This window comes from Homo sapiens, chromosome 1 (assembly GCF_000001405.40).
Source record: "Homo sapiens chromosome 1, GRCh38.p14 Primary Assembly".
Lineage (NCBI taxonomy): Eukaryota > Metazoa > Chordata > Mammalia > Primates > Hominidae > Homo > Homo sapiens.
In genome coordinates this window covers 216,497,380-216,510,246 of record NC_000001.11, presented here as the reverse complement: position 1 = coordinate 216,510,246, position 12,867 = coordinate 216,497,380, and the positions used below count along the sequence as shown (strand labels likewise).

The 12,867-nt window shown below is 34.8% G+C and overlaps 1 protein-coding gene across 56 annotated transcripts in view; it reads left to right on the top strand.

Annotated features, from left to right (window-relative positions):
* Window positions 1-7,001, top strand: part of ESRRG (estrogen related receptor gamma) — a 634,457-nt gene extending 627,456 nt beyond the window's left edge. For 38 of the 56 annotated variants that reach the window (XM_017000625.2, XM_047449371.1, XM_017000622.2 and 35 more), the window contains one exon: window positions 3,064-7,001. In XM_017000625.2, the coding sequence (XP_016856114.1) occupies window positions 3,064-3,308 (245 nt within the window). In that variant the 3' untranslated portion in view covers window positions 3,309-7,001. The remainder of the gene's footprint in view (window positions 1-3,063) is intronic. The other 18 variants (NM_001243511.3, NM_001243510.3, NM_001350124.2 and 15 more) reach the window with 1 other exon arrangement.

The window sequence follows — 12,867 nt, the reverse complement described above, 5'->3', positions numbered from 1 at the left end:
CCTGGCTTGGCAGTAGAACTACCTAGATTTTCAGCAATGCTGATGTCCTAGTTCTGGTCTCTTACTTCATAGATCTAGACTTGGGCCCAGTATCCAAGATTTTTAAGAGCTCGCCCATTGTTTTTAATATGTAGCCTAGTCCTGTCTAGTTAGTTCATAAACTTATGATATCCATTAAGTTTAGCTGGTTCCTATTAGCACAAATACTAGGAATATTTCCTTTAAAGCATAGTTAAAAAGAAACCAGCATGAACAATGAAAACAAAATAAATTACATACATTAATGCCAGTTCTATTGAGCCTGGTGTCAACGTGTAAATTTAACCAAAAGAACAAAACAGAGATTAAAACCACAGATCCAGAACTTGAACTAGGATCCCTAATGGAGATTAATATTTTCTTCAGCAGTCTGCCAGCTGAATCATTGTCTAATTAAATAGTTCAAATTTAGTGAGTTTGCATTTAAAGTATTAGCAGATCCGAGAATGGGTAAAGCTAAAATGAGTTAGAATCTTTTCTATAAATGGGAAGTTAAATTATCATAGTAATTTGATTAAATCATTTTTAAATCTCTCATGCTAAATCACAGCCTTGAAAGAATAGTTTGAAATCTTAATTGCTGTTTGTGAGCATATCTCTCTGCTATTTGTTCTTGTCTCATTTCCCATGACATCCTATAATATATCTCCTGCTGGGCAAGAGTAGTGGGAAAGGCAAGACTATGGGTAGGGCCGAGGTAACTGTGCAGCTGACTTCAAGCACTTAAAGATATGCCATGTAGAAAAAGGAAATTTATCCTGTATTGTTCTAGTAATTAGAAACAGGACCAAATGATAGAATTTGGAGACAGATTTAGGAAAATTTAAAGAGGAAATTCATAATAATTAGTTTTGCCTCTTATCAAGGAGAATACTCTACATACTTTTCATACAACTGGCAATGTCTTCATTAAGAATGTTGTAAAGAAGACAGCTGATGAAGATAGGAGTTTGAATAGGATGTGTTTAGAGGACAATTCATCCCAATTTTTAAGGGAATGCAAATTTAGTGTTCTACATTCTAGCAGCATTATTGATTTGAAGAATCCTGAATTTAAACCTGTGTCTGACACATATTACCAGTGCCACGTGTCTTCTAGGGCTTGGGGAGGTAAAATGAGGCCATGTTCACCTGAAATAGGTGCTTAATAAATGGTAAATGTATTATTTTTATTCTGGTGTGTTTTTGGTCTAGTTGGAAAATAGTTATTTCGTTTGTTTTGTCACTGCAGAGTGTAATTCCCATTTTCTCCTTCCATCTATTACTCTGTTTTCATGTAGAGAGCTAATTATTAGACCCAGGATAAGTTGGGAAAATCCAACTCATCTCTGTTCCCTTATGCACAAGGTCCATATTGCAGTCTTTTGTGTATCTAGAGACTCACCATAGTGTTTCCCCATACCTCCCATTTTTCCTTCAGGTAGCATTTAAGTGCAAAAATAGAGAGAAAGAATATCAGATCATGTTGCCATCATCTCTATGAATGTTTTTCTGTCCCTAAGATTACCAACCCCTAGACAACTTTAGAAATTATGTGTGTTTGTTTCTAAGAGACAGCACCATAGGAGGTGGATGAGATTGCCATGCTGAGAGGAACCAGACTGGAGAGAAGCTGGGTAGAAACAATCCACAGGGAAAGGCCAGGCGTATGTTGGGGAGTGACTTGAGTCCCGCTCCAGGGAACCACTATCAATGCTATTTCCCACTTGGAAAAATTCCTTCTTTTTGCTCTGCCAGGCAGAAATTGAGTCTTGAGCAGTAAATACTTATAAGCAACTTTATTCCAGATTATTCAAAAATTTTTTAAAGAGGTGTCATTAAACTACCTAATGTAAATAGTGGTCAGTTCACCAGTGATATGGTGGAATGATTCAAAATGACAATGTAAGTGAAAAAAACACTAAACAAAATACAAATAAATTTTTAAGACATGCTACTGGTTATCTTTTAATTAGTTTGCCATATTTCATTTTTATTATATATTTAGCCACTTGATTTTAAATTACATTCCCTCTCTTTTTGTTCATGTGATCTATGTTTGAATTGTATGAAAGATTAGGCTAACTACATATATCTTAGAGCTCAGCATTCTCAGAGAACTAGAATTATTAAACATGAAGAATCCCCCAAAGACTCCATTATGTGTAATTAACAGATAAACTGTCATCAGAATCAATAAAACGTGCTAAATGATTCAAACTTGTATATAATTAAGTGTCTGCTTTAGAGCTGGAGCTGTAACTTTTATTTTTTCCCCACATCTCACATTTCTCACAAGAATAATTTGGCAACCTTGTTAACCCTTTCTTTGCTTGATTGAATTAGATTTTCAAATTATTCATTTAAGGGCAAAGTTCACCTTTACAAATGCGAAAAATATTTCAGAACTCAGTGATCTGAAGACACCATTTGTTTTTCATCAGGGAAGTAGACTCTGTAAGGATGCTTTAATCAACTGATACTAGAACATTAAACATCCTGAAAGGATAAATAATTTATTGTGATTTCTGTATAGTGCTAGATTCAATGTAGTCACATGGAGTTCTTAGAATCTTAGTCAACAATTTTTTCCCCTGTTTGGGAAATATTGGCTTTTCCAGGCAAGATCAGAATTTTAAACAACCTTCCCCCACACAGCACTAAGATAATACTTTCAATAGATGGCCTTCCGTGGTTGTTTATTGAGTGAATGAATATATACCTGGATGAGACAATGAATAAAATAGTCAAGACTGTAATCTGTTAAAAGAAAGCCTTCTCTTGCTCAGCCTGAGAAAGAAAAATACACATTTTAAATCATAGATCTTTTCTAATAATTCCCATTTTCTAAGCTAGTATTAGAAATTATGTAGGGAAATTTGGAAAGAAATAGAGATTGTAGAAATGCAAGACTCTGAACAAATCATAGGTTCAAGCTCAGAGAAGTTCAAAAATAATTAAATTAATAACTAATTTTATAACTCTAGTCTACATAGGTTTGCTATTATTATTATAATTACTCATATCTTTTGCTTCATTGCACAGACTCCATGCACATAGAAGATGTTGAAGCCGTTCAGAAGCTTCAGGATGTCTTACATGAAGCGCTGCAGGATTATGAAGCTGGCCAGCACATGGAAGACCCTCGTCGAGCTGGCAAGATGCTGATGACACTGCCACTCCTGAGGCAGACCTCTACCAAGGCCGTGCAGCATTTCTACAACATCAAACTAGAAGGCAAAGTCCCAATGCACAAACTTTTTTTGGAAATGTTGGAGGCCAAGGTCTGACTAAAAGCTCCCTGGGCCTTCCCATCCTTCATGTTGAAAAAGGGAAAATAAACCCAAGAGTGATGTCGAAGAAACTTAGAGTTTAGTTAACAACATCAAAAATCAACAGACTGCACTGATAATTTAGCAGCAAGACTATGAAGCAGCTTTCAGATTCCTCCATAGGTTCCTGATGAGTTTCTTTCTACTTTCTCCATCATCTTCTTTCCTCTTTCTTCCCACATTTCTCTTTCTCTTTATTTTTTCTCCTTTTCTTCTTTCACCTCCCTTATTTCTTTGCTTCTTTCATTCCTAGTTCCCATTCTCCTTTATTTTCTTCCCGTCTGCCTGCCTTCTTTCTTTTCTTTACCTACTCTCATTCCTCTCTTTTCTCATCCTTCCCCTTTTTTCTAAATTTGAAATAGCTTTAGTTTAAAAAAAAATCCTCCCTTCCCCCTTTCCTTTCCCTTTCTTTCCTTTTTCCCTTTCCTTTTCCCTTTCCTTTCCTTTCCTCTTGACCTTCTTTCCATCTTTCTTTTTCTTCCTTCTGCTGCTGAACTTTTAAAAGAGGTCTCTAACTGAAGAGAGATGGAAGCCAGCCCTGCCAAAGGATGGAGATCCATAATATGGATGCCAGTGAACTTATTGTGAACCATACTGTCCCCAATGACTAAGGAATCAAAGAGAGAGAACCAACGTTCCTAAAAGTACAGTGCAACATATACAAATTGACTGAGTGCAGTATTAGATTTCATGGGAGCAGCCTCTAATTAGACAACTTAAGCAACGTTGCATCGGCTGCTTCTTATCATTGCTTTTCCATCTAGATCAGTTACAGCCATTTGATTCCTTAATTGTTTTTTCAAGTCTTCCAGGTATTTGTTAGTTTAGCTACTATGTAACTTTTTCAGGGAATAGTTTAAGCTTTATTCATTCATGCAATACTAAAGAGAAATAAGAATACTGCAATTTTGTGCTGGCTTTGAACAATTACGAACAATAATGAAGGACAAATGAATCCTGAAGGAAGATTTTTAAAAATGTTTTGTTTCTTCTTACAAATGGAGATTTTTTTGTACCAGCTTTACCACTTTTCAGCCATTTATTAATATGGGAATTTAACTTACTCAAGCAATAGTTGAAGGGAAGGTGCATATTATCACGGATGCAATTTATGTTGTGTGCCAGTCTGGTCCCAAACATCAATTTCTTAACATGAGCTCCAGTTTACCTAAATGTTCACTGACACAAAGGATGAGATTACACCTACAGTGACTCTGAGTAGTCACATATATAAGCACTGCACATGAGATATAGATCCGTAGAATTGTCAGGAGTGCACCTCTCTACTTGGGAGGTACAATTGCCATATGATTTCTAGCTGCCATGGTGGTTAGGAATGTGATACTGCCTGTTTGCAAAGTCACAGACCTTGCCTCAGAAGGAGCTGTGAGCCAGTATTCATTTAAGAGGCAATAAGGCAAATGCCAGAATTAAAAAAAAAAATCATCAAAGACAGAAAATGCCTGACCAAATTCTAAAACCTAATCCATATAAGTTTATTCATTTAGGAATGTTCGTTTAAATTAATCTGCAGTTTTTACCAAGAGCTAAGCCAATATATGTGCTTTTCAACCAGTATTGTCACAGCATGAAAGTCAAGTCAGGTTCCAGACTGTTAAGAGGTGTAATCTAATGAAGAAATCAATTAGATGCCCCGAAATCTACAGTCGCTGAATAACCAATAAACAGTAACCTCCATCAAATGCTATACCAATGGACCAGTGTTAGTAGCTGCTCCCTGTATTATGTGAACAGTCTTATTCTATGTACACAGATGTAATTAAAATTGTAATCCTAACAAACAAAAGAAATGTAGTTCAGCTTTTCAATGTTTCATGTTTGCTGTGCTTTTCTGAATTTTATGTTGCATTCAAAGACTGTTGTCTTGTTCTTGTGGTGTTTGGATTCTTGTGGTGTGTGCTTTTAGACACAGGGTAGAATTAGAGACAATATTGGATGTACAATTCCTCAGGAGACTACAGTAGTATATTCTATTCCTTACCAGTAATAAGGTTCTTCCTAATAATAATTAAGAGATTGAAACTCCAAACAAGTATTCATTATGAACAGATACACATCAAAATCATAATAATATTTTCAAAACAAGGAATAATTTCTCTAATGGTTTATTATAGAATACCAATGTATAGCTTAGAAATAAAACTTTGAATATTTCAAGAATATAGATAAGTCTAATTTTTAAATGCTGTATATATGGCTTTCACTCAATCATCTCTCAGATGTTGTTATTAACTCGCTCTGTGTTGTTGCAAAACTTTTTGGTGCAGATTCGTTTCCAAAACTATTGCTACTTTGTGTGCTTTAAACAAAATACCTTGGGTTGATGAAACATCAACCCAGTGCTAGGAATACTGTGTATCTATCATTAGCTATATGGGACTATATTGTAGATTGTGGTTTCTCAGTAGAGAAGTGACTGTAGTGTGATTCTAGATAAATCATCATTAGCAATTCATTCAGATGGTCAATAACTTGAAATTTATAGCTGTGATAGGAGTTCAGAAATTGGCACATCCCTTTAAAAATAACAACAGAAAATACAACTCCTGGGAAAAAAGGTGCTGATTCTATAAGATTATTTATATATGTAAGTGTTTAAAAAGATTATTTTCCAGAAAGTTTGTGCAGGGTTTAAGTTGCTACTATTCAACTACACTATATATAAATAAAATATATACAATATATACATTGTTTTCACTGTATCACATTAAAGTACTTGGGCTTCAGAAGTAAGAGCCAACCAACTGAAAACCTGAGATGGAGATATGTTCAAAGAATGAGATACAATTTTTTAGTTTTCAGTTTAAGTAACTCTCAGCATTACAAAAGAGTAAGTATCTCACAAATAGGAAATAAAACTAAAACGTGGATTTAAAAAGAACTGCACGGGCTTTAGGGTAAATGCTCATCTTAAACCTCACTAGAGGGAAGTCTTCTCAAGTTTCAAGCAAGACCATTTACTTAATGTGAAGTTTTGGAAAGTTATAAAGGTGTATGTTTTAGCCATATGATTTTAATTTTAATTTTGCTTCTTTTAGGTTCGTTCTTATTTAAAGCAATATGATTGTGTGACTCCTTGTAGTTACACTTGTGTTTCAATCAGATCAGATTGTTGTATTTATTCCACTATTTTGCATTTAAATGATAACATAAAAGATATAAAAAATTTAAAACTGCTATTTTTCTTATAGAAGAGAAAATGGGTGTTGGTGATTGTATTTTAATTATTTAAGCGTCTCTGTTTACCTGCCTAGGAAAACATTTTATGGCAGTCTTATGTGCAAAGATCGTAAAAGGACAAAAAATTTAAACTGCTTATAATAATCCAGGAGTTGCATTATAGCCAGTAGTAAAAATAATAATAATAATAATAAAACCATGTCTATAGCTGTAGATGGGCTTCACATCTGTAAAGCAATCAATTGTATATTTTTGTGATGTGTACCATACTGTGTGCTCCAGCAAATGTCCATTTGTGTAAATGTATTTATTTTATATTGTATATATTGTTAAATGCAAAAAGGAGATATGATTCTGTAACTCCAATCAGTTCAGATGTGTAACTCAAATTATTATGCCTTTCAGGATGATGGTAGAGCAATATTAAACAAGCTTCCACTTTTGACTGCTCTTTTGTATTGTGTTTCTTTTTTTCCCCCCGCTAAAGAACCAAATTGATAAACACTGCCCTTTGTTGCTTCCATTCAAAGAGTATCTCTGAGTACCTGTTCCCTAAAAATAAAGTCGGAGTTTAAATAAGTGCTATATAAAGGCTTGTCAGAATGAATTCTAGGGTGCCAAGAGACATTTTGCATATTTAAGAGTATGCAAAGTGTCTCATGGCACATTAGAATTCATTCTGACAAGCCTTTATATAGCTCTTATTTAATCTTAAAGCATCTCCACATCATCCTGCATTACTCAAAATCATCGCCTCTATGTCAATGTCATAACAGAAAACTCTCCCCCTATTTTAAGATCATATTAAAGCCTGCTAGAGATACCCATTATTTCCCTCTATCAACAATTAAATCATGCGCTTGCTCCGAGCTCTTTGGCAAGCTGCAGGCTATGTGGAGCAGCAGTAGAGCTGCTGACCAGATTTCCTGAATGAGAAGTCAACAAGCAGAGCTTAGAGATCCGTGTGAATTAGGAGGGGGAGCTGTCTTCGAATTCAAGAGGGTTAAACAGCACTGCTGACAGCAAATGGCCTCCTCTTGCCTTTTACACTCAGAGAGGTTACAGCCCTTGCTGCTCAGGGTCAAGTTGTAGCTTCCACTGGACCCTCCTGGAGCCATCACCGAAGTGCTAATATGTGCTTTCTTGGCTTCTCTGCCTATCTTGAGGGTGTTTTGTCATTGTGTTTGCCCACCGTATTTCTCACCTTTCAGAGGTGGTTGGTTCTCTAGAGAAGCAAGCTGATGACACAAAGGCCACTAAACTGAATTGGTTTTAGGGCCACGAGATTACCTAAATGACTAAGATGCAGTACCGAACAAGATAGCTCAGTATTGTCTTTTTTATATTTTAATGTCCTTTGAGTGGCAACAGTTCAACATAAAATCTGACATGTTTTACTTTTGATATTTTTTAAGTGCTTGGATGGGACTGAAACAAACAATGCAAGATACAAACCTAAAAGGAAAAATCATGTCTGTAATCTTCTACAAGAGGTCCTCATTGTAAAATATGTTAGGCATAAACACACACACACACACACACGCACACACACTTTAAAGAATTCCTGTTAGAACTGTCTTGCTGTTTTTATAACTTAAAATTCTTACAGGACAACTTTTCTGGTACTGACATATTTATCATGGTTGCCATAGGTGTAAAAGAAAATGAAGTAGGATTTTGACACTTCAGCATGTTGTCTTTCTCAATACATAAACAACAAGTACCTCTGACAAATGCATTATCTTTTTAAGGGATCACTTTTATTTTCACCAGTTGTTTATAAGTGGTTTATTTTTACGCCAGTGGTCCCCAAATTTGTCTGCATATTGAAATCACCTGGGGAGTGTCAAAATTCCTGATCCTCATGTCCCACCCACAGAGATTGTGGTTTCATTGATCCAAGATGTGTCCTGGGTTTTGGAATGCTTACACAAGATCTCCAGGTGATTCCAACCTGAAGACAAGACGGAGAAACACTTGCTTAAAATTTTTATACTTTTCTCAAATAAACCAAAAATAATGAACTTTTTAATATTGGTTCTAAATTTTTATTAGGGTTTCTTTTTAATAACAAGACGAAAGTACTTAACCTTTTGTTTCCTTACCAAACCAATGAAATGAACTTTGTTTTGACCTCCACAAAACATATGAAAAATACATTTTATTTGATGACTGCCAAGCCACATCTTCCTGTTATATCTCCCTATAAAGGTGGAGATGGATAGCTCCTCAAAAACTTGTTTGCAGAATATCTCACAACTTCCCCCACACCCCCCACCGCTTTTTAAATCCTACTCATTTGGCCCATTAATGTGCTTTAGAATTAATTTAGGTGGGATCCAAAAAACCTGTCTTTCCCTATTGACAAACAAAAGAGCAACAAAGTTAGAAAATTTTCATTTCTTGGAAGGACTTCTCTTACCTATATTTTTCAAGTTGTTGATTTAGGTGAGAGGTAGGAACGAGATAGAATGCTTCATCCTTGGGCCTCTGCAAAAAACTTTAGGTGCACTTTGCTTATTATAAAATTTAATTTGTGATTAACTTGTGAAAGAAGAGAGAGCTATGCTTAAGGCTTTTGTTTCATCCACAATGGTTTACATCCTGAATGGATAGCACCATAGACTAATAGATGAGAAAGTGTTGAAGTCAGTGCATCTGGCCTTTCGAATCTCTAAATCTAGCTTCTCATGCCCCCTGGTAGTGTGGAAAAAAACAAAAAGAAACAAGTAGCAGTAGATGGATTGTGTACTGCATCTTATTGTGAAACAAATAGAAAAGAAAGGAATTTCAAAATATAATCCCGCTTTCCCAGGAGTATTTGTCTTGTTCTTCATGAAGTTAAAGGTTTGAAATAATGTGACCATCAGGGGCTCAATGTTGCATGTCCATGCCAGTTGGTCCAAGGGCTTGTTATGATGGTAATGACCTACTGAAACGTGAGCTTGGATTGCACAATACAATCACTACCAGCTCACCCGCTGGGAGAAATATTTTATTATTGTCAAATATCCTCCATAGAGATTTGTTTTGCCTGTTTCTGTTTAAATTAAATTCAAAGCAGAACTGCATTACTATTGCTCTGGAGTATATTTCAGATAAACAACTAGTCTCAAAATTTAGGATTCCTGGCTAGTTCAAATTTGTTTATTAGCAGAAAAATTACAATAGGTGACACCATAGCTGCAGGAATATTATGATTGCAGCAACACCAGAGATTTACATACTGAGTCTGTGGCCTAAAAGCAAGAACTCCCTTTTTCATTACAGATACCAGCCAGATTAATAATTAACCATTTCATCTATTGTACAATCTTAAAAAAGTACCAATATAATCATGTATTGCCATAACATGTCACAGAATTTTAAACTTGAGAAACTTTGCTCCAAGTAAGAAGTGTTTTTTTGATTTAAGATCATAAACCAAAAGTGTATATGTGTGTACATTAAAAAAAGAAACAAAGTAGACATAGCAGAGCCCATGAATGAAAATGCTCTTTAAGCATAATATATATTTAACAGTACTATTTTTTAAAAGAACTGAAAAGAGGCTGGGCACAGTGGCCCATGCCTGTAATCCTGGCACTTTGGGAGGCAGAGGTGGGAGGATTGCTTGACCCCAGAAGTTTAAGACTAGCCTGGGCAGCATAGTGAGACCCCATCCCCTAAGAAACTAAATTTAAAAACAAAAGAATTGAAAACAATGTCTTAGGGTATATGGGATTATTTGGATAATTTTGCCAGAAGTCCTATATCACAACTTTGATGAACGATTCTGAAACAGTGAAGCTTTAGAATACAAATTTTGTTACATGCAATCAAACGAGAAATGGACTTTACTGTGAGAAAAAAAAAAGTGTTTAGCATTGTGAAAATAATAGCAGTCTGTGTGTTTCGCAATGTGGTGAACTTTGGAGCGCTGATTTTAGGTAATGCAAACAAACTTTTGGGAGGGGTCGCTAAAAGGGCCTAACAGGAAAACATTTCAGACTAGCGGGAGCATTAAATCACACTATTCACACTCCAATTCAATCTGCCATTCTCGGTCGAATTTCACAGTTTTATTGGGAAGTGAAGAACTGTCTGCTATTTTAAAAAGCACATAGAAAGCTAAAGTCATAAGAGCAATTTCCAAAGTGAAGTCTATAGCCATACAAGTGTTAACTTTTTCCCTTAAAATATGGGATTTTATATCATTACGAATGAAGAATACTAGCAATTAATATTAAACACTATTTTGCAGGTATTTTTGTAATAATCTCTCAGAGATTCTTTATATCCATTAGACTTTTATTTTGCCTGGGTCTTCCTTTTGAAATAAAAATGAATTGGCCATCCCTAATGTACCAAATTTGTTCATGCTTATAAATCAAAAGAAGATTTGTAGCCTATATTTTTAACTGTACATATAGAAAAAAAGCCACTTTCTCCTCAGAAATAAGTAAGTAGTTCAGAGTAATTCCTGTGCTGGTTATTAAGTAAGTAGATGTTTAATATGAGTATGGTTTTACACACAAGGAATTATTTGACACAGGACTTACTTGTTTGGGTTTAATAAGATTTGGTGGTGCTTAAATAGACTGCGGAAAGTGATGAGAAACAGTACGCCATACTGGTTACATGCATAAACTGAGTTTTTAATGTATAGGGTCAAAGCCAACTCTGCCACTAACTAGCTATGCGATGTTATTCCTAGTTAAGTATATTCTGCTTAGATAAATGGGGATAAATATACTATCGAAGGGTTGCTATTAGGATTAAATTAGATAATTTAGGGAAATACTTTGTTTCATTTTAAAAGTTCAATATGTTGAAAATGTAATTTCTTTCTTCCTCTTTATGTCTTTTCCAAGAGAGGCCAGATGATACTCCAGGATAATGTAATTTAAACTGGGAGAAAAGCCTTCAGGGCAGGGGAAAAATGCGGGTGTTTGGATGCAGATGCATAGGAGGCTGCTTCGGGGAGCTTCTCCTGAGTGGGAATTAAAGTAGTATAGAATCAGGGTTGACCTGATGCACAATGCAGGTCCAGCCAGAAACCAATCGTGGGCCTAACTGTGTGCTGGACACTATGCTGAGTTCTTTAAATACATTATACAATTTAATATTCCCAATTTCTTTATGAGGGAAATAACATTAATATCTTCATTTTATAGATGAAGAAAAGGAGTCTCAGAGAAGTTAAATAACTTGCTCAAGGACCAAATAATTAGTGCACGAGTCAGCTAAATTTGAATGCAGCTTGTCTAGTTCCTGAACCTAATATCTTAAAACACTAACCCTATGTTTAGCAGTTTCTTGAAACTGAATGATAGTACTTTTTTTAAAAATTTTGAATAGGTAGAATACAGAGTGAATTAATTCTTTTGCTTAGATCAAGAAATGCTCTCTCATTCCCTCATGGCTCTTTCATTCTGCAATGTCTCCTTGTGAGTCCTTGAAAAACATATAATGTTGGTTTGTGTAAGACTTTTAATATACAGAAATGGTGCTGTGTTGACTATCTTATTCTGTTTTTTATTTTTTACCCTACACTAGATTTTAAGACTTATCTGTGTTTTAGGAGGAAATCTGCCACATAGTAAGCCATTGAAGGCATATATCATATTTTATCTATTCCCCTTGTGATGAACAATAAGTTTGCTTTCAAAGCTTTAATACAATATGCAATGTTACAATGAACATCTTTGGATGCTTTTCCTTATGGACCAATGTAATTGTTTTTCTGAAATATATGTCCAGGCGTGGGGTTACTAGGTCATTGACCATTTCTATATTTATTTTCAGTACAGAAATTATCCTACAGAATTAGATTAGTTTGAACTCCCACTAGTGGTATGTTTATTTCATTTCCCCTCAGCAGCATATACATTTTATGTGGTTATTAAACTTTTTCTAATCTCATTATTTTAAAAATACTGTATTTTTGGTTAGATTTATATTTCTCTGAGCTTCTTTTCTTGTTTTTTGTACCTACTCTGTCTCTCCTTTCTGTGAATTTTGTATTTATACACTTTGCTTTTTTTATATTGGGGTTTTTTTTTGTTCATTTGCAGGAGTTCTTTGTATATTCTACATATTGATCCCTGTCACTTTCAGTTTTTGCAATGTCTTCTCCTAGTCTGTCATGCATCTCATAACATTGACCTTTGCCTTTGTTGACTAGAAATTATTAACTTCAATAAAGTCAAATTCATCAATTTCATCCTATGGCTTCAGAGTTTAAAATATATTCTTTCTTTTTTATGCAATTATTTTTATAATTTAAGTGTCACATTTTGGTCTTATTTAATCTAATTTGAATGTTTTTAATGTA